We start from the raw sequence: 22,177 nt of genomic DNA, 5'->3' as shown, positions 1-22,177 counted from the left end.
GGTTGTTGCAGTGGCTCACAGAGAAGAATGTAAAGGTATAAAAGTCCATACGCATACAAGAATTGTTACCAACAGCACTGATGGAATGGGCTTCCTGATAGTAATACCTGGGAACACCAGCACCACCAAGGCTCTGGCCATGCAGGGCACTGTGGCTACAGTAGCAGGTCATTGTCACTCCTGCTCTGCCCTCACCTCCACCCAGCCCCTGCCCATCTGCTTCCCTGCTTTGTGAGGCTTGGTCTAATAGACTGTCCTACCCCCAGCTCCATTGTAAAAGGAGGCCAGGCCAGAGACAGCCCAGGGTGGCTGCAGAGGAGAAAGGCACAGAAGCAAAGGACAGGTGCAAAGGTCATAATTCCACTTTATTGCCCCGTCATTTATAAGCCCTGTGCTGCCCGTGCCAGCTGTGTTTCCACTTGAAAGTTACTCCTGGTGTTTGTTGGAAATTCTGGCACGGTCCCGCTTACCCTGAGAGGAGACTTGGGCTGCAGTGTGGGAACCTCTACACTGCTAGAGGTCTGGTCCCGGGCCCATCTGTGCATAGCAGGTAGGACACCAGCCCATCAGTGGTCCCAGGCGACCACCCTCAGCTGATAGTGGAACCCCTCCTCTTTGAGCCCCTGCTTAGAAACCAAAGAGTCCCTGAAGCGGACAGAGCATCCCCATGTCCACTCCCTCGACCTGGTGCAAATTAATCTCGGCTTTTGTTTGGGCAGCCTGGTGCCCGAGATGGGGGATGATGCCCAAGGCCGCTGTTACCTCTCTTGCTTTGTCACTGCACCCCCTGTCCTGGAACATGTGAGCCCCTGGAAGGTGTGGCAGGGTCCAGCACCACCTGGAAGCCTGAGACTAACGGCAGCTCCGGCCACCTGGAACACCCTCTAGAGACCTCCCTTCACCCCACTGACAGGCCCTGCCCAGCCCCTGGGGGGTGCTGGAGAGACAGAGGTAGTGGCATTCACTGGGAACAGACTCCTCTCCCTGCAACCGGCAGGCTGCCTCTGCTCCACTGAGCGGGTGATGGAGCTTGGCGGGGTTGTGGGGAGCAGGGCCAGCTGGCAAAAAAAAGGAGAGAGGAGACTTTTGGAGAGAGGAGAGTTAGGTAAGGGGATGGGCCACCACCCTGGACAGGAGAGCTTTGGGGGGCATCTGGAGCAATGCAGGTTTAAAGCAGAGATCTGCTTTGATGAGTGAGGGCCCCTCCCCCTCGGGTCACCCCAACACTTTTAGCAGCAAACCTCATGCCTCCTCAAGTCTGGGGGTAAGATGGTGTGTGGACGAGGGTAGGAGGGGGCCCAGGCGCCCCCAGGGGTCTGTCCTGTGTGGTGTGCAGGTCTCCTGTCCCCTCCTGGCCATGCCCATTGGGCCCATAGCCTGGGTCCTCCCGGAGGCTCACAGGCTACCCAGAAATCAGGTCTGTGCTGGACGGAGGCATCCTACGGGCCTAGCAGCTGCAGGCACACAGGCCTCAGGACACCCCATGGAAACCCAGAGACCCACTGCAGATGGCCCTCCTGGGAAGCCACCACTTGTGCTCAGGACCTGGGACCAAAAGCTGAAAGTGGCACCTCGTGTCCCTGGCCCTGACAGCTCAGCCTGCAGGGGACCACCTGTGGCTTCCTGTGTCCATGGATGGGAGGCAGGACAGCAGCCCCCAATAGCGGGAGGGCTCTTAGCAGTGGCGGTTGGAGCGTGGGCCCTGGCCCCGGGGCTGAAGGACTCTGGGCAGAGGCCCTGACATTTACCGAGATGGGGAAGCCAGAGGAGTCCTGACTTCCCCACCCAGCATCTCCCTGGACCTCAGCCACAGGCTCCCAGGGAGGCAGACAGAGCTCAGCCCATGCCACAGAGGGGGACAGTAACACCTGGGGACATCACCTCGCTGGTCAATGGCAAATGCGGATTAGAACTCAGGGTTTCTATGGCCAGGCACAGTTGCTCACGCCTGTAATCCCAGCACTTTGGGAGGCTGAGGTGGGCAGATCACCTGAGAGGTCAGGAGTTCGAGACCAGCCTGGCCAACATGACACCTGTAATCCTAGCTACTCGAGAGGCTGAGGCACGAGAATCGCCTGAACCCAGGAGGCAGAGGTTGCAGTGGGCCGAGATCACACTACTGCACTGCACCAACATGGTGAAACCCCGTCGCTACTTAAAAAAAAAAAAAAAAAAAAAAAAAAAAAAAACTAGCCGGTGTGGTGGCGCACGCCCTGTAGTCCCAGCTACTTGGGGGGCCGAGGCACAATAATCACTTGAACCTGGGAGGCGGAGGTTGCAGTGAGCTGAGATCCTGCCACTGCACTCCAGCCTGGGTGACAGAACGAGACTCTGTCTCAAAAAAAAAAAAAAGCAGGGGTTTCTGTGTATTCTCCCGAGGCCTCTTTGTGCCAAGTGAGACCCTGGCTGGGTGAACAGGGTGCCCGGCTTCTTCCTGCAGCACCTGAAACATCCCGGCTTTGCCCCGGAGACACCCTTGGGGCCTTCAGGCAGCCACTTGTTCCCACTTCCAGCCTGTCCCCAGTGGCCCCTGCCCTGTGTCTCACACCCCCTGAGTCTGTGTCACCTCCAAGGCTCACACAGTGGGTGCCCAGGGCAGGCATCTGGGAGATGACCTTGCAGGTCAGACCCAGAATCCAGCAGTCCCCCTTCACTCCTTCCTCTTCCGGGCCTTCCGAATAGATGGGAGGATCCTGTTTGGTGCCTGTGTGATGCTTTTATTTTTAATTTTTCTGTGTGGCGCGTAACAAGCATACAGAGAGGTTCACAAAACAACCGCACGTCCAGTGGGCAGTTATAAAACAAACCCTGTGGACCCAGCACCCCCAACCCCACCCAGACGCCCCCTCTGCCTCCTCAGCTCCCTCCCCAGGATAACTGTCTCTGCCCAGGGCTGGTCTCGCACACAGTTGCTTCCTGATTTTATTACTAGTCCCAGGCTCTTATTACACAGCCCCAGACAGTGTCGTGGGACTCTGCCCACTCGTGAGCCATATGGAGACAGGATTGGCGTGTGCTGTGCTGTGCTGGCTTCTCTCCCAACAGCTGTCCCTGGTATCTGGGCCATGTGAGTAGATCTGGGTCACTTGTTTTCACTGTGAGGTCGTTCACTGGGGATTTGTCCCTCTGTCCCGCCGTGGGCAGTCGTAGTCCGCTTGCTGTGGGAGTCCCTACCCTTGTGTCTCGATGTAAACGTGGGTGCCCTTCCATCGCCCATACCCCAGGGGTGACCGTGGTCAGGCTGGACACGTCCTCTGCTTTTCTGAATTCTGCAACCCTGTCCTGCCTGGACCTCATTGTCAGTCCAGGCTTCTGTAACAGAACACTGAGATCTGGAGGGCTAAAATGCTGGTTCTGGAGGCTGGACAGTCAGAGATGAGGGTGCGAGCATGGCCATTTCTGGGAAGGGCCCTCTTCCTGGCTTGCAGACAGCCTCTGTCTCTCTGTGTCCTCATCCGCAGAAAGACAGAGACAGAGAAGAGCACTGTGCTATCTCTTCTTAGGACGGCAGGAATCCCATCTTGGGGACCCCAGCTTCGTGACTTATCTAAACCCAATCACACCCCAAAGTCCCCATCACATTGCGGGTCCGTGAATTCTAGAGGGGGTCACAGACATTTAGTCTGTAAGAGTAATGGTGCCCACGTGTCACCAGCTCACTACTGACGGGCCCTTCCGCTGCGGACGTGCTGCGTGTGCGATGATGATATGGTTGTGATTGCCATTTGCGGTTCCCTTATTACTTCTGAGGCCGAGCACCTTTCTGTGCATGTATTGGGTGGCTGTTTGTGTGTCGTCTTTGGCCATGCGCCAGTTTGGGTCTTCTGCCTGTTTTTCTTCAGGCTTGTCTGTTTCGTATTGATTTGTGGTCAGTCCTTGTATACTTCAGAAGCAAGACCTTTGTCAGTGGTGCAGGTGTGCGGATGACTGCTCCCACAGCGTGGTTTGCCTTTTTTTTCTGGGGGCTGGGGACTCTTCCACACAGCTCTGTGGTCTGTAGTCCTCCTTATAACTTGGAGAAGGCGGGCCTGGCCCAGTGCCTCCCACAGACAGCAGGGCAGCTCGACTGGGACCCCATAGCCTGCTTTCCCCCTTGTTGGATGTGAAGGCTTCCTTCCATCTATGCCAGGGAGGCTGGTTTTCCACTTAAAATGGTGACTTAAAGAACTGCTTTAAGGCTGGGCGCGGTGGCTCACGCCTGTAATCCCAGCACTTTGGGAGGCCAAGGCGAGCTGATCACCTGGGGTCAGGAATTTAAGACCAGCCTGGCCAACATGGCAAAATCTTGTCTCTATTAAAAATTAGCCAGGCTTGGTAGCGGGCACCTGTAATCCCAGCTACTCAGGAGGCTGAGGCAGGAGAATCACTTGAACCCAGGAGGCAGAGGTTGCAGTGAGCCGAGATCACACCACTGCACTCCAGCCTGGGCAACAGAGCGGACTGTCTCTAAATAAATAAATAAGTATTCTCATTGTTCAATTCCCACCTATGAGTGAGAACATGCGGTGTTTGGTTTTTTGTCCTTGCGATAGTTTGCTGAGAATGAGGGTTTCCAGCTTCATCCATGTCCCTACAAAGGACATGAGCTCATCATTTTTTATGGCTGCATAGTATTCCATGGTGTACATGTGCCACATTTTCTTAACCCAGTCTATCATTGTTGGACATTTGGGTTGGTTCCAAGTCTTTGCTATTGTGGGTAGTGCCACAATAAACATACGTGTGCATGTGTCTTTACAGTAGCATGATTTATATTCCTTTGGAACATCACACTGGGGCCTGTTGTGGGGTGGGGGGAGGGGAGAAGGATAGCATTAGGAGATATACCTAATGTAAATGACGAGTTAATGGGTGCAGCACACCAACATGGCACATGTATGCATATGTAACAAACCTGCACGTTGTGCACATGTACCCTAGAGCTTAAAGTATAATAAATAAATAAGTAAATATATATATATATATATATATATAATAAGTAAGTAAATTGCAAGCTGCTTTTAGAAATAAATGTGTAGGAATGACTGTGTTTGGAAAACTCTGCCCTGCAGCTTTGAGGATGACCAAGCAATGGTCCCTTTCCCAGACAGGCTCCTTAACTTAAGGCTCTCAGAGATGCCTGGGTTGGGGGAGCTTCAGAGGTTTGCACCAGGCAGTGGGTACCATGGGGCTCTGAGGGTCCTGACAATAATCCTGACCCCGATTCCAACACCAGCCAGTGCCTGTTGGGCAGCTGGCTTCAAACCGGACGTTTCTCATGGTTTTCCTCCAATCTCCAGAACAATCGTGAACTGTGTGTTCAGTATTGTCGTTCCTATTTTGCATGTAAGGATGTGAGCTCCTTACATGCAACCGGTCCGGGGTCTCACGGCAACCGGTCCGGGGTCTCACAGCCCTATGAGTTTCAGCCTGAGGATTTGCATGTGGGTCAGCTGACGAATGGAACCCCTCACTCCTTGGGCTCATAAACAGAGAACCGACACAAACACCATCCAGAGAAGGTGAGAACCGGAAGGGATGATAGTTACTGCTTAGTTCAAAATCTCTCTGACTTAGTAACGTGTAGGTCACTGTTAAGAGGGAAATCTCCTGCGTTAAAACAACAACAACAAAAACACAAAACAAAAAAACTATTGTGAAACAGAAGTTCTGTCTTTGAAAATGTGAATTACAGCCAGGGCCTGTAATCCCAGCACTTTGGGAGGACGAGGCAGGCAGATCACCTGAGGTCAGGAGTTTGAGACCAGCGTGACCAACATGGTGAATCCCCGTCTCTACTAAAAGTACAAAAAATTAGCCAGATATGGTGGCAGGCGTCTGTAATCCCAGCTACTCGGGAGGCTGAGGCAGGAGAATCGCTTGAACCCAGAGGTAGAGGTTGCAGTGAGCCGAGACTGTGCCATTGCACTCCAGCCTGGGTGACAGAGCAAGACTCTATCTGAAAAAAAAAAAAAAATGCATTACCAGGGAAAAACAGTTTTGTCTTTAAAGATAAGTATAGGGTCATGTATTTAGGTTATCATCTACATGTTGGCACCAAATAAACAGACATGAGATGCCCCTCAGATGACTTGGAGTTTCTGGACTCCAATTTGGAAAAACTCATTTAGAGCCAGGCCTCTATTTTTCAGAGAAGGAAATCTGGGCTTCTGGTTACTGGGGATCGAATGCCTGGCTCATGGCAGAGCTGGCCTGGAGCCCTGGGGTTAAACTCTGACCCAGGGCCTCTCCCTTCCCCTGTACCAACTCAAGGGCTTCTCTGGTCATTATTGCTTTTTAAATTGGAGGCAACAAAACCCCAGGGCTCCCTCCAACCCCTGTCCCTACGAAAGGAATTTATTAGTGTACACAATGGAGAAGCCTAAAATTGTCTGGCATCAGGCATAGTTGGATCCAGCTGCTCAAATGGTATCCCCAGGGAGCTCTCATTCCATCTCTTGGCCTGATTTCTCCATGGGGGCTTTATTCTTTGAGCAGCTCCCTCTCAGGATGGTGCCTGGCAGCTCCAGGGCTTATGTCCTTATAGGTCCAAGTCCTGCAGAAAGAAAATGGCTCTGTGCTAGCTTCTTAGCGAGAGTCCTGATGGGACCGACCTGAATGATGTCCATGCCCACCCAGAACCAGTCACTCTGGCTAGGGGGTGGGGGCACCAGCAAGGGTGACTGGCCGGGTCTGGGTCAGGGGTGTAGGGAAGATGGCTTGCCAAGGACAGTTGGGGTGCTGGAACCAGCAGAAGGAGGGGGTGGCAGGCAGGACCTCTGCAGGCCATAGTTAGAGATATGCCTTCAGCAGGGACGCCAAGCGCCTCAGCTCCTTGAAGATCAGAGGAGGATATTGCTGTGACCTGCTTTCTCAGGGAGTAGGAATGCCCTCCCAAGGATGTGAAAGGGGTGGGAGCTGTCACCCACATCTCTGGGCGGCTCTGGTTGGAGCCATGGAACAGGGCATGGTACAGTCCTATTAAACAGAAGTGTCGTTAGTCACAGTGTGTATAAACCCTCGGCAAAACATCAGCATACCCATGTTTGGTTCTTCCAAAATAGAATGTCTTTGTTATCTTTAGAGCATTTAAAAATACAGGCAAATGACTCTATTAGCACAATTGTAATCTAAAATATTAATAAGCCACAAAAGCCAGCTTCCAAAGAAGTTACTAGCTGTTCCCTCACAGAACATAAAATAGCTATGAGGACGCATTGTCCTGTCTGCTAATGATTATGTTTTTGTTAAACAACCGTGGCAGACTCCTGCATCCCCCACCCTTTCTGTCTCGTATGCCACTTTATTAAAACACACTCAGAGCCTCGCTGCCGTGAAGTATGTGCTGCTGTTTCGTAGCAGCCGCTCTGTGTTTTAAGGACCAGCTTCCATGCTTGGGTTCACCCTCAAAATAGAGTTCTGCCAGGTCTGTGTGTTATTTCAGGTTCCTTTGGGAGGATCCAGTCTCTGGCTTTGCTGTGGGGCCCAGGCCTTCCTCGTCCCCTCCCAGCAGTGGTGGTGCCTGCTCTGGGTTACTATGGCAACCTGGTAATGCTGGGTACCAACCCTGTCCTTTTTTTCTCCACAGCCCCTCCTGCCGCTACAGGATGTGGTGTCTGCAAAAGTCACCTTGTACAGTGGCCACTGTGGGCAGAGGGTTCAGGAGAGAAGGGCAGTGACATGGCCCGGACATTCACGGGGTTAGAAACCTTCTTAGTGCTACACTGGGCTGCCAGTGTGGAGGGCAGTAGGCAGGGAAGAGTCTATATTAGTCAGTTTGGGCTGCTATCATGAAATACTGTAGAATGGGCAGCTTAAACAACAGAAATGTATTTCCTCCCAATTCTGGAGTCTAGAAGCTGCAGATCAGGGGCTGGCAGGGGAAGTTCCTGGTGAGCTTCTCTTCCTGGCTTGCAGATGGCCGCCTTCTCGCTGTGTCCTCACAGGGCCTTTCCTTGTGCATGCACACCTCTGCTCTCTCTTCCTCTTAAGAATGCCAGTCCTCTTGGGTCAAGGCCCTGCCTTGTACCTTCATTTAATCTTAATTACCTCTCTAAAGTCCTTTCTCCAAATCCAGTCACACTGAGGGGGTCATGGCTTCAGCATAGGAGTTTTGAGGGGGACACACACATTTAGTCTATTTCAGAGGCAAAGAGTCACAGCTGTAAACCAAGCTGCATTCTGTGGATGACTTCTCAGTTTCACCCTTTCTTACCACACAATCCCATCCTCTGTGGGGCCATTTTGTTGTGTGAGCCGAAGGCAGAGACTGCTACTTGACAAGGGTGTACCCTGGCCCATCAGCATTTAGAAGCCTCTTTAGGTCAGTCTCAGGGCTGTTCTGGGGGTTTGACCTGGATTCTTTTCCATTGAAAAGGCAAACATCAGAGTCCATGACTCCTGATTTATGTCTCCTGTGTGACCTTGGGCAAGTTACTCAGCTTCTCTGAGCCTCTGTTGGCATTGACAGTAATGTGTTTGCCACAGGGCTGCTATGAGAGGGGAATGAATTCAAACTGGAAAGCACCAGGAGCAAGCTAGCTCTCCTGTCATTATTCTCCTTCCTCAGCTGCAGATACCCAGGAAACATGGGTTGTGTGTGTCTGGACAGCCATGTGTTAGGGTATGGCCCTCAACCTGGACTATAGAAAAGTAATGTGGATGCCAGGGCTCTATCTCCACCTCATGAAACCTGAATGTCTGGGGTGGGACCTGGGAATCTGTATTTTTAAGCAGCTTTCCCAGTGATGTGTTTGATGAGCTGGGATCAGGAACCTCGTGTTGGAGCAGATTTAATAAGTGCAAATGGTGCAAGCCAAGAGGACTGAAGGCAAGGACCTGGAGGTTAATTAATTTGTAAACGCCTGTTTGTGGGGTCAATTGATCAAGGTTTACTACCCTCCATGAGAGCCAAGAATCAGGAGGATACAGTTGACTCACATCAGTATTCTCTGCACCTCACACAGTGCCTGGCATGGAGTAGGGGCTGAGAAAGTACTTCTGATGGATGGATGGATGGATGGATGGATGGATGAATGGATAGGTAGGTGGGAGGATGGATGGGTGGGTGATCAGATGGATGAATGGGCTAGCAGGGTTGGAAGGATGAAGAGTAGTGGGAGGTTAGATGGATTAATGGGTGAGTGGGTGGATGGGTAGATGAATACATGGGTGGGTGGATGGGTGTATGGATGGACAGATAAATGGATGGGTAGGTAGAAGGATGGATGAATGGATAGATAGATGCATGGGTGGGTGAGTGGATGGATGACTGGGTGAGTGGATGGATGGATGGATAAGTGGATGAATGGATGGGTAGCTGGGAGGATAGATGGATGGGTGAATGGATGGGTAGGTGGATGGGTAAATGGATGGGTGGATGAGTGAGTGAGTGGATGGATAAATGGATGAGTGGGTGGATGGATGGGCAGATGTGTAAATGCATATGTAGGTGGGGGAGGATGGGTGAGTGAATGAGTGGGTGAATGGATGGATGGATGCATGAGTGGGTGGGTGGGTAGATGAATGGATGGGTAGGTGGGTAGGTTGGAGGACAGAAGGGTGGCTGAGTAGATGGATAAATGGGTTAGTAGGTATCTCAATGGGTGGATGGATGTCTAAATGAATAGTTAGGTGGGTAGATGGGAGGATGGGTGAGTGGGTGGGTGGATGGATGGGTGGGTGGATGTGTGGATTGATGCATGGATGAATGTATGGATGGATGAGTGGTTAAGGGATGGACAGGTGGGAGGATAGATGGATGGGTGAATGGATGGGTGGCTGAGTGGGTGAGTAGATGGATAAATAGGTGAGTAGGTGGGAATCTAGTAAGACCCACCCAGTTAGGTGGGTAGGTGGGAGGATGGGTGACTAGGTAGATGGATGGATGGGCTTTGCTTGGGGATGTTTATAGATACTCACTCTACCTTTCATACACAGCTCACCACAATTCAAGTTGTGCATCCCTTCCTATTGTAAACCTTTACATTACCCAATGAGATGTCTTTAAAACCATAGAGTTTGTGAGCAACAGGGAAGGCAGTGAGGCGTGCATGAGGCTCTTGGCGATACCAGCAACATCACTGGCATCCCAGGCCAGGTTGTCTTCGAGTCTTTGGCCCCTAGAGAGTGTTAAGGTATCAGTTACCTTCAGCCAACCCAGATGCACTGTGGCCTTAGACTTTGCATGCCTGTCCTATCCCCCAAGTCCAGTTTGCAGGCCTCAGCCCTACCCCTGTGGAGCCAGAGGAATGGGGTTGGGGCTTGGACATCCACATGGGAGGGGTGGGTGACCTGCCCCCACTCACTCATGCCATCAGTGTCTTGGATTCTTGGGTGTTCCAGAAGTCTGATGTTGTCATGCCCTGAAAAGGTGGAAGGAATGGGCTGCTCCCAGTACATGCAGTGGAAACACTGATGTGCCATCTGTCAGATGGGAACCTAGTGAGGACAGACCTGCGTTCTCTTGCTTGGCACTGGGACACCAAGTCTGGGTCTGGTCAGCCAGGGCTGGGAGCCCCCTTCTAGCTGGGGCAAAGATGGAGGCCAAAGGCCACCCCTGCCCCCGCTGCAACCTCCAGAGCATGCCATGGCTCATTCTGGGAAATGAAAGCTGTCATATGGTGCTCTGTTATTGAATGAAGATGTTGTTTTTGGCTCCTCTGAAATAGACGATGGGAAACAGATTCGGGGATTATGAATAAACATTGGCTTATGGGGGCCGCGTGCTGGTAACGATGAAACCTCCACATTTGCAGATTAAATTTAAGACAGGCATATGTAGAGTGGATGTGTAAAGGGCAGGCTCCTGCTCAAACAAATCATGTAACCAAGGAGAGCATCTTGGATGACACTCTGTAGCCCCCTGTCCACAGCCAGGTTGTGTGGCTTAGGAGCACCGGGTCCAGGGAGGAACCCGTGTTTCTAGGAGACCTGGAACAGGAAGCCAAGAGGACATGGCCGCGAGTGGTGGATTGGGCACCATCTGCAAATGTGGGTCTAGAGTCAACACTCACCTTCAGCAGACGCAACCTCCAGATACCTCAAAGTGGTTAATTGAATCAAAGCAGTCTGCAAAATAATTTTTTCTCATTCATTTGAGACAGAGTCTCATTCTGTCACCCAGGCTGGAGTACAATGGCACCATCTTGGCTCACTGCAACCTCCGCCTCCCAGGTTCAAGCGATTCTCCTGCCTCACCCTCCCGAGTAGCTGGGATTACAAACACGTGCCAATGCCCCCAGCTAATTTTTATGTTTTTAGTAGAGACGGGGTTTCACCATGTTGCCAAGGCTGGTCTTGAACTCCTGACCTTGTGATCCGCCTGCCTCGGCCTCTCAAAATGCTGGGATTAGAGGCCTGAGCCACCACACCCAGCCAATTTTTTCTCTTTTTAAGAGACAGGATTGCCTTTGTCGCCCAGACTGGAGTGCGGTGGTGCAATCATAGCTCACTGCAGCCTTAAACTCCTGGACTCAAGTGATCCTTTCGCTTCAGCCTCCCAAAGTGTTGGATTATAGGTGTGCATCACCACACCCAGCCTAAAAGCAATGTTTATTTTTTAGAGACAGTCTCACTGTCTTGCCCAGGCTGGTCTTACACTCTTGGCCTCAAGCAGTCCTCCTACCTCGTCCTTGCAAAGTGCTGAGGTGACAGGTGTGAGCCACCACACCTGGCCTAAAATCAAATTTTGACGGTTAACCCTCGCCTGTTTAGTTTTATATTATTCTGTGATCCGAAGGAATTCACACAGGACACCAACCTTTTTTTCTTTTCTTAAATTGATATATAATTTCAATGCCATAAAATTTACTGTTTTAAAGTGCACCATTAAGTGGCTTTTTGCATATTCACGAGATTGTGCAAACATCACCACTCTCTAATCTCAGAGCATTTGCATCACCCCAAAAGAAATTTTGTACCCATTAGAATTCACTCCCAACCAGGCACGGTGGCTCACTCCTGTAATCCCTTTGGGAGGCCAAGGCGGGCGGATCACCTGAGGTCAGGAGTTCGAGACCAGCCTGGCTAACATGATGAAACTTTGTCTCTACTAAAAATACAAAAATTAGCTGGGTATGGTGGTATGCACCTGTAGTCCCAGCTACTCAGGAGGTGGAGGCAGGAGAATTGCTTGAACCTGGGAGGTGGAAGTTGCAGTAAGCCGAGATGGCACCACTGCACTCCAGGCTGGGCAACAGAGTAAGACTCCATCTCAAAAAAAAAAACAAAAGTCACTCCCCGATTTCCCCTTTACCGGAGCCCTGGCAACCATGACTCCACTTTCTCAATCTAGATTTGCCTGTTCTGTCCATTTCATGTAATGGGATCATCCATGTGGGGTCCTTTATGACCAGCTTCTTTTAGTTAGGACAGTGTTTTTGAGATTCTCCCATGCCATAGCATGTATCAGAATCTCACTGCTTCTTATGGCTGAGTTGTATTTCATTGTATGGTTATACCATACTTTGTTTCTATTAGAAGATGGACACTTTGGTTGTTTCCAGTTTTTGGCTGCTGTGAACATTTGTGTGCATGGTTTGTTGGAACACCTGTTTCCACTTCTCTTGGGTATATATCTAGGAGCGGAATTGCTAGGTCACAAGGGAACTGTAGGTTTAACCTTTTGAGGCACTGCTAGACTGTGTTCCACAGTGGCTTCATTTTACATTCCCGACAACAGTGTAGGAAGGGTTCCAGTTTTCCCCATCATCTTCGCCAACACCTATTATCTGGTTTGTTGTTATCGTTATAGGCATCTTAGTGGGTATTAGACCTATATATCATTGTGGTTTTGATTTGCATTCCCCTAATAACTAATGATGTGAAGCATCTTTTCATGTGTTTATTGGTTATTTGTGCATCTTCTTTGGAGAGAAGGTCACTTATTAAACTAATACTTTATTATACAAGTAATATCTAGTCCTGTAGCAAATTTGGAAAATAAAGAAAGGTATAAGGAAGAAAATTAAAATCACTCCTGAGTCTATCCCACGTTCATAGTCACCACTGAGGCTGTAGTCCTTTGAGCATAAATGTATATTCAGCAACATTAAGCTCATTCTCTATGATTATGAATCTGCATTTTTCCAAGTGAAAAGAGATGTCATGAATTGAAAAGATCCTTCCAAAGCACCATTGCTAATGGCTCTTCCAGTTGTCACAGATGTGTGACATTTGTCGCCTGTTCCCCCCACTTCTGACTTATGATACTGCAGTTGTTCGCATGTTTCCCTCTTGTGAATAACGCTTCAGGAACGGCCTCATCATCTCAAAGCTTTGCTCTTGTCTTTAGGACGCTGCCCTGTGAGCCGCTCGCCCAGCTACTTTGCACAGCAAGACATCACCTTGTAGCTGTTCTTGAGCGGTGCACTGGCATCCAGGCCAGTAGTGTGGTTGCCTCACCCCCAGCTCCTCCTACAAGTTCTAGAAGGCCTCTCTCTGGTTCAGCTCTTGGCAGCTCAGTAAAGATAAGACCTGCCCACAGCCCTGGGGATGGGCGGAGACTGGGGGATTAGAGGAGCCAGAGGTCACCTCCAACTGCCATTTAGCTCTTAGTGGGCTCTTCAGCTGGATCTGGAAACCAGATTGACAGCAGGCAGATTAATAAGAATAGCATACCAATTGTATTGGTTTTACATATACATGGGGATCTTCTGCAAGAGAGCGAAATGCAGAGAAGTGACCCAAGCAAGACGCTTTTGTACTTTTTGACAAAGAATGATAAATTTGAAAAGAAACGACAGGGCAAAGAAAATCTGGCTAGGACAGTAAATTTTCTAGTGGAGTCCCTAGGACATATACAGGTGGTGTAAAGCAGTGGAAGATGAGGGCTACTCCATTATGTATGTTTACTCAGGCCCACTGCAGCCTCCAGTGCCCAGCCTCTGGTGACAAGGGCCATTTTCTTGCCCTGGTGCAGAGAGGGGACCCCTTCCAGAGGCATCTCTATCACTGGCTGCATGTAGGAAGCGACAGGTCAGCTCACCCTTTCTGAAACTATAGTTTCTCCAATGTTTCAACATGATATAGTCAGTATAATCAGGCATATGTGAGGATGGCCTGTCCTTCACTCTTTCAGAGGCATGGAATAATATACTTTTTTTTTTTTTTTTGAGACAGAGTCTTGCTCTATTGCCCAGGCTGGAGTGCAGTGGTGTGATCTTGGCTCACTGCAACCTCTGCCTCCTGGGTTCAAGCGATTCTCCTGCCTCAGCCTCCCGAGTAGCTAGGATTACAGGCGCGCGCCACCACCCCCAGCTAATTTTTGTATTTTTCTTGGAGATGGGATTTCACCATGTTGGCCAGGCTGGTCTCAAACTCCTGACCTCAAGTGATCCACCTGCCTCAGCCTCCCAAAGTGCTAGGATTTCAGGCGTGAGGCACCACACCAATACACTTCTCAAACTAGGGGGGCTTGTACCCACTGTTACACGGGCCCCATGCTTGTGTAATGTTCTGCTGTCAGCACCCGGAGACTCTGAATCATTTTAAACAAGGGGCTCTTTGTCATTTTGCCCGGGGTCTCACAGCTTACACAGTGGGTTCCACTGACTTGAGCCGTCCTCATCCTTAGAGACCTTCACCTTTTAGACCTCAGAGCTTTGCTGCCTTTAAACAAAGACACCTTGTGGTGAAAACCCCCAGGCCCAGTAGCGATTTCCTGGCTTCCTCACCTTGATGGCACAGACCAGGGGCAGATTCTGGAGTCCTGGCAGCTCAACTGGGAACGGGGATTTGGCTCCAGGAAGTGTTCATTATTTATGAACCTCCAAATCCTAAATCCATCAGTGGCCGTGTGTGGCCACAGTGGGGCAGGCTGGCCGGCAGCCCAGCTGCTCCTGGAATGAGCTTAGAGTCACCCCTCCCGGTGGAGGCAGAAGCTCGCTGGGCCCCCAGCGCGGCTCCACGCCCCTCCTCCAGGTGGCTTGGGTGAGAGCCTCTGTCCTGTGAAGTAACTGCCAAAAACTGCCAGATCCCCTGGAGCCATCGTCCGACCCGATGGATACCCACCCACTCCACCCAGCCCAGCTGCTCCCTTCACCTTTTTAACCCTGAGAATGTGCTCAGAAGGTTCCAGCACTGCAGTCCTCATGCAGGAAGATGAGCTGCCACTGGGCATCTCCATCCAGATGCCACTGCCCTGGGATGGGCCCCACCTGGGTCAGGCGCCCAGGGACCCAGCTGCCCCCACCACTTCTGTGTGCTGGTCACTTGTGCATGTGGTCACAAGGTGCCTGGCCCTCCATGTCTCTGAAAGAGCCCGTCACTCCTTCGCGATGGTGTGCTGAGATGGCAAGAAGCCGTCTTTTATAGAAACTGTCTCTGGGCCGAAGGCCGTGGGTCATGCCTGTAATCCCAGCACTTTCAGAGGCTGAGAAGGGTAGATCACCTGAGCTCAGGAGTTCAAGACCAGCCTGGGCAACATGATGAAAACTCATCTCTACCAAAAATACAAAAAAATTAGCCAGGTGTGATGGCACATGCCTGTGGTCCCAGCTACTCAGGAGGCTGAGGTGGGTGTATCGCTTGAGCCTGGGAGGCGGAGGTTGCAGTGAACCAAGATTGCACCACTGCATTCCAACCTGGGTGACAGAGTGAGACCCTGTCAAAAAAAAAAAAAAAAAAAAAAAAAAAAAGGAAGTAAGAGGGAGGGAAGGAGAGAAGGAGGGATCTCTTATTGACTACCAGGGTCCTGCAGATCTGTGCACAGATTAACTGTGCCTGTTAACTTCTGGAGCACTCTGTGTGTCGGAGAGGGACTGATCCCAGAGCAGGAACCTGGGGGAAAGGTTACTTTTCCTCGGAGAGAGGAGGCCCATGCTCCAGTTGATTCTCAGAGAACCGAAATGGGTGTCACTTTCATCATCACTGTGGAGCTTTTTATTTGTAAACGGTTACAACTTCTCAAGGTGCCCAAGCCCTTTCCCAGAGCCGTCCATTGGATAAACAGGGCCAGAATTGCATCTGAGGACCCGTTTTAGAGAGAAGGCCCCTGGGCCTAAGTAACTTCCCAGCCATCACATGGTGACCCCGGCTCATTGGCCGCTCCAGGCACAGTGGCTTCTGTCCAGGTGGGCATTTTCAGGCCAGCTGGGGGCCTCAGTGTTAACACAGCTGGACAGCTGGTCTCTACAGTGCTGGGCACAGAAAGTTCCCACCCAGGCGGATGAGCAGAGGCATGAGGACCACAGGCCCATGGCCATGACCCCAGTCACCCTCAGGGGCCTTCCCAAGTCTGCTGTGTATACAAGATTCCTACTATCAGAGACCAGGCTGGTCTGGTGGTGCTGATTCCCAGGAGGACACCAGAGGCAAAGAGCAGGAGACACAGCCGAGCTCCAAGTCACACATCAAGTGGGCGGCAGCAGAGACTAGAACTTTCTCCCCTAGACCAGAGCTTTATCTGACCCACATACTCAGCTGAGAAGGGTATTCATCTTCCCCTCAGCTGCTTTGCGACCAGAATCAGAGGGAGCCAGAGGGCCCAGGTCACACTGTCCGTGGGCCACTGGGAAGGTACATGCTCAACACAAGGTTACGTAAGGCCTTCCTCCATGGCCCAGGGATAGGGTAGGAGATGGCGGAGGAAGATGATGGATGCCCACCCCCTTCAGCCTCCAGCACCTGCAGGACCCAGGGTGTGCTGGCTGGTGCCTCTCTCACAAACACATGCAACCACAGACCTCATTGAGTAGCAGATGAAAGATACCCATACACACACACCTACACACGTGCAAATGTGCACATACGTGCATGCCTGCACACAGACACACATGCCTGCACATGCCCACATAGAACATACACACATGCCTACACATGCCCACATAGAACACACGCACATGTGTGCTTATGCACATACTACACACATGCTGCACATGCTTCACTTGTGCTCAGCACACGTACACCCTCACATTTACACATGTGTACATGTGCATGCACGCACATGCCATTTCATGTGCTCTCGCAGAAGGCTCAGAGAGCCCCCCTGCCCCACCCCCTGCCGTGTGCACCAGGTATGCATCACGTCTGTTGAGCACAAGCTCAGGTCACCCTGCAGCTCCAGCGTTGTTCAGGGACATGCTCTGTCCTTGAGCTCTGGCACAGATAGAAAACCCCAGTGGCGACCTGACCTATTTGTTGTTCCTGAAGCTCCTGGCATTTCTCCTGGATCCTCCTAGAAGGAGTCTATGTGCCAGGGTGACCGCATCATTTATCATCCAAACGAGGACATGTCTGCGAGCAAAGGAGGGCAGTGGGCACCGTCCCTGGGGCCACCGCGTGAAGCAGGGCTGCCCTACTTACTGCCAGGAGCACGGGCCCTGATGATGGGCTGCACTCGCTCCGCTGAAGGAGACCGGAACTGGAACTTCTCAGGCGAGTCATTCACTCAACCACCCACCCACCCATTCATTCACCCCGCCAACCTCTTACTAGAACAAGTAGGATGCCAGGCCCTGCGTTCCAGGGAATAAAGCCTCTCAGCGAATTACACCTGGGGAAGAGTGGTGGCCTAGCGTGGACAGACCCCGACAAGGCAGACCCAAGATGCGGATGTGAGACCAAAGCCTGGGAAGCTTCGGCCACCTGTGCAGACACCTTTGGGGAAAGCTGGAGACACCTGCCTTCCCCACCCCCCTGGAGTGGGTCTCTGGACCTGACACTGCCACTGGTGCCCACCTGGCCCCTCTTCCCATGTGCAGGGTGAGAACCTTGGAAGCCAGGAGCCAGAGCCAAGGCCTCAGCAGCCAAGTCCTTGGCCTCACCCTCACACCCCTGCAGCCACCACTGCCCGCCTCCTCCCTCCATCTCCAGGCTCCCCATGGCCTGAGGCTTCCCCCAGCCTTGTTTCTCCTGATGAGGGAAACCTGCCTGGAAAACCTCCTGCAAATGGCTACTCCCTTCCTTTGCAAGATAAATAACTCAGGGGTGCAGGCTGTGGTGTGTGCCCCACAGACTCCTGAGATGCCAAAGTGGTTAGAGATGGCCCCTCCTTCCGGCCCTCACTCCTGCAGGCACCCAGCTCTCTCTGCTGCCAACAAGCTTCCCCACAGGGCCAGGCCACCTCCCCACTGTGCCGCCACTCCAAGGGCCTTCCCTGAACTGCCTCCGGGTCACATTCCTCACCTCATCCTTTTCTTGGTGTGGTGACACTCTTGTGGCCAGAATTACTTGGCTGATTTGGGGAGCTCTATTCTTGCCTATCTCTCAGGTGATGCTGGGGACTTTATCCTCCCTGTCCACGACTTCCTCCATCACTACTTCACTGTCTGGTGCAGAGGCCTGCTCAGTAAATCGCCACTGGCAGAACTACCCTGTCCATCAGACATGGCCTCTGCCCCAGTAGACAGGCAGGGAGGGAACTCACATCTACACTGCATGCTGCACCTTCTCTTTGATGCCACTCCTGGCCCCAGGATGTGCAGCTGTCGCCACTTTACAGAGAAGGAAACAGGCTCCAAGAAATTCAGCAACATCCTCAGCCCCCCCACCCCAGCTAGAAAGTGGCCAGCTTGGATCTAAAGGGGATCTGGGTGTTGTTTCTAGCACCCTGCCCCGCCTTTCTGCACGGATCCCTGCAGAGTCAGGCAGGGGAGACCCAGAGGACCCCTGGTGGTAATCTGAGTGCAAGAAGCAGAGGGAAAGGGAGCACTGGCATATCTGAGCCCCAGCAGACCATTCTGGAAGGTTTTTGTGTTTTGATTCAGGCGAAATTGACATTAACCATTTTAAAGTACAAAATCCTGTGGCATTTAGATACTCCTGGAGTTGTGAATTGTCACTTTTTAATTTGAGGACATTTCCATCACCCCAAAAAGAAACCCTATATTCATTAGCAGTCACTCCTCATGCCCCCCCCACCCCTGGCAGCCACTAATCTACTTCTCATCACTGCAGATTCCCTTTCCTGTGCATTTCCTATCAATGAAATCCTCCAGCATGGCCTTTGTGACTGGCATCCTTCACTCAGTGCCATGTTCTCAAGGCTCGTCCACATTGTGGCGTTGTGGTGGTACGTCGCTCCTTTTCAAGGCTGAGTAGTGCTTCCTTTTGTGTATGGACCATGTTCGTTATGTGCTCATCTGTTGAGGGACACTTGGGTTGCTCCCACCCTTCGGGCTGCATCTGTGAGTGGTGCGGCTGTGAACGTCCATATGTAAGGATATGCTTACCTGTTTTTCCTTCTTTTTCTTTTGGGTGTGCCTACCTGGGAATGGAATTGGTGGGTCATATGGTAACTCTGTGTTTAACTTTTCGAAAAACCGCCAAACTTTCTTACATTCTGGGATCTTGAGCCCAGAGAATGAGGTCAGTCTGGCTGCTGCCTGGCCCTCTCCTGGGGCTGGGCAGGACCCTGGGCTGGAAGGCAGAGGTGAGGCTCTCCCAGCTGCTTGGCCTAACATCATCTCTACAGCCAGCCTTCAGTTCAAAAGCCCAGCGCCCATGTCCATTTTCACTTCTCTCATCTGTGTCCCCACTCTGCAACTCCTTGGGGCAGGGACCCTGTCTGATGCCTCCCCGTGTCCGTGCCTGGCACACAGTAGGCCTGCCACACCAGAGCTAGCAGAGTGGACATCACATCTCCCGGACAGCTAGTTATTTTCTAAGGAGCGCTAACCAGCTCAAAACAGATTTAGAATTCCGTGTGGTTAAAAATCACCCGTCTTATGCCGTTTAAAAATTGCTTGTCATTTTGTATGCCAAGAGCTCTTCCAGCAGCCTACTTTTCCAAAATGATCGCTGATTGGAACAAAAACATTGCCACTAAAATTAGAGTGACAAAATGGAGTTGTTATGAAACAAGAGGAAAATCGACAGGTACATTTTAACAAGCGAGGAGCAATCCCTGCCTACCTGTTAGAGCGGCAAGGAGCATTCCGGCCCCGTCTGTTCTGAGGGGCATTGATATCCACGTACACTGCTCTATTGTTTGATTAAACCCCTGATGCGGTTGCTTAGGAGTGGAAACTATTTTAGTGACTTAAACCAGGGCCTGGAGGTGTTTGAGGGAAATGTTCTGTAATTCGAAAGCATCAAATAAGATGCTTTCAAATTAACACAAAAATCCAAATATCCATATCTTGAAAGAAGAGACCCCTTCCTCCCCTCTGACTTCTCCTTCCTCCCAGCCAGATTATCCAAGACGTGCTGTTATTCAGAGTCCCATCAGCCACATGTGACAGAAAAACAACTAAAGAACATGGCTTACATGACACAGAGGCATATTTCTCTGTCATATTAAAGAAGACAGAGGGCAGCAGTCCAGAGCTGATATGAGGGCTTCAAACATACAGGGACCTGGCCTCTGCCTTTCTTGCTGCTCCAACATCCTTAATAGGCTGCCTCGCAGTTCAAGGTGGCTGCTTAGACTCCAGCCATTGTATCTGCGTTCCAATAGAGGAAGAGCGAAAGGTTCAAGAAAACATTCCCTCTTTTAAGGACATGCACATTGTCCACTCTGCTTCCAATTATGGATGATCAGCCATAACATCATCTCAAAGGAGGCTGAGCTGTTGGCTTTATTCCAGATAACCTGCTATGGATGAGTAAGTTGAGAACTGATGTTAGAGTAGGCAGCTGGCCACCTCTGTCACAGTACCTCCTAGGTAATGGCTTTCTTCCCGTTTCCAAGGTGCTCACCCCGTACAGATGTCCTCTACTTCCTCCCAATTTCAGAGCAGTTCAGGATATAAGGTACAAAATGTCATTCAAGAAAAGTGTTGGGAAGCTTTAAGTGAGAAAACAAAACTTATTTCATGTATGGGGAAACTGAAGCCTGAGCTGGGGAGGGACTTGCCCCAGATGCATTTGTGCCCACTTAATGTTACACCAGCCACCCTGGGTCTCTCGCAGGGGATTTCAGAGCCTCATGGGAGTTCTTGCTTCTTGGGAGCTCCTGGATCTCTTTGCTGAGGCTATACCCTGCCATGTTATTAAGGACACTTAGTTACAGATGACAGAAAACAAGCCTATCCTGGCTGAAACCAAACAGAAATTTAACGGCTTTTAAGTTTAGGAATAACAGCTTCAGTCCTGGCTGGATCCAGGTGCTTAGGGAGCCTTAAGAAGCTCTCATTCTCTTTTCTCTGGTGTTGTCTGTATGAACTCCCCCATGCCATTCAGAGGTGGTCACCGGCAGCACCAGGCTAGCATTCTGCTGTTTTAGTAGTCACATAAGAGCAAGACTGCCTCTTTCCCAGTCATTGTAAAAGAAGGTTCAGGATCTAATTTCACTGGACTGATTTGAATCACTGCCCATCCCTGACCCAATCATGCTGGCCAAGGGAGTTGGATGAACCCTTTGACCAGACCTGAATTGCATGCATATCTTTGGAGGCGGCCAGCCATGCCACTTGGGTCACAAAGACTGGCACACAGACGTGGGCTATAATGTTTCCCCAGGAAACAGGAAATGGATGGAAGGCAGGCCCAACTCCCTCTTCCCTTCCACCTCAGTTCTGCACCTCCCCACTTCCTGCCCTGACACTTCTCTCCCCGATCAAAACAGAACTGGTGTAGTCTTCTTCCCTTGGGCTGTTGTTCAGTGGCTTGTCTTTCATTAATGGATTACTTCCCTCCAGGCCTAAGAATCTGTTGGGAGAGGGGCCATATGTAACACCCTCTCTGATTCATCAGTGCCTGCCCTGCATAGAACTTGGCATAAAACAGGTGCTAATAAATATGTGACCAACTGGATGGATGGATGGATGGATGGATGGATGGATGGAAGAGAGGAGGCAGGGATAAAGCACAGATGGATGTGTGAGTGGATGGATGGATGTGTGAGTGGATGGACAGATGTGTGAATGGATGGGTGAGTGGGTAGATGGATGGATGGATGATGGATGGATTGATGCAAGTGTGGATGGATAGATGCACGTGTGGATGCATGAGTGGGTGGGTGGATATGTGAATGGATGCATGGGTGGGTGGGTAGATGGATGGATGGATGGATATGTGGATGCATGGGTAGATGGATCAGTGTGTGGGTAGATAGGTGGATGGATGGGTGGGTGGATGGGTGGGTGAATGGATAGATGGATAGAAGAGAGAGGGGAGGGAGGGATAAAGGATCGATTGATGTGTGAATGGATGGATGGATGATAGATGCATGTGTGGATGTATGGGTGGGTGGATGGATGGGTGCGTGGATGGATGGATGGATGGATGTGTGGGTAGGTATGTGGATGGATGGGTG

At 51.1% G+C, this 22,177-nt stretch overlaps 1 protein-coding gene across 23 annotated transcripts in view, besides 1 other annotated feature; it reads left to right on the top strand.

Annotated features, from left to right (window-relative positions):
- SHANK2 (SH3 and multiple ankyrin repeat domains 2) overlaps positions 1-22,177 on the top strand; it is a 785,381-nt gene that overhangs the window by 466,702 nt on the left and 296,502 nt on the right. The window lies entirely within an intron of this gene.
- Positions 17,708-18,209: an enhancer, noted in NCBI's record as "H3K4me1 hESC enhancer chr11:70614429-70614930 (GRCh37/hg19 assembly coordinates)". NCBI's record gives its function as "activates a minimal SCP1, AML or CMV promoter by ChIP-STARR-seq in naive H9 embryonic stem cells {active_cell/tissue: H9 hESC(naive)}" and the evidence as "EXISTENCE:reporter gene assay evidence [ECO:0000049][PMID:30033119]".

This window comes from Homo sapiens, chromosome 11, assembly GCF_000001405.40.
Source record: "Homo sapiens chromosome 11, GRCh38.p14 Primary Assembly".
NCBI classification, from domain to species: domain Eukaryota; kingdom Metazoa; phylum Chordata; class Mammalia; order Primates; family Hominidae; genus Homo; species Homo sapiens.
The sequence above is the reverse complement of the archived record's forward strand: the minus strand, read 5'-3'. Positions and strand labels throughout refer to the sequence as shown.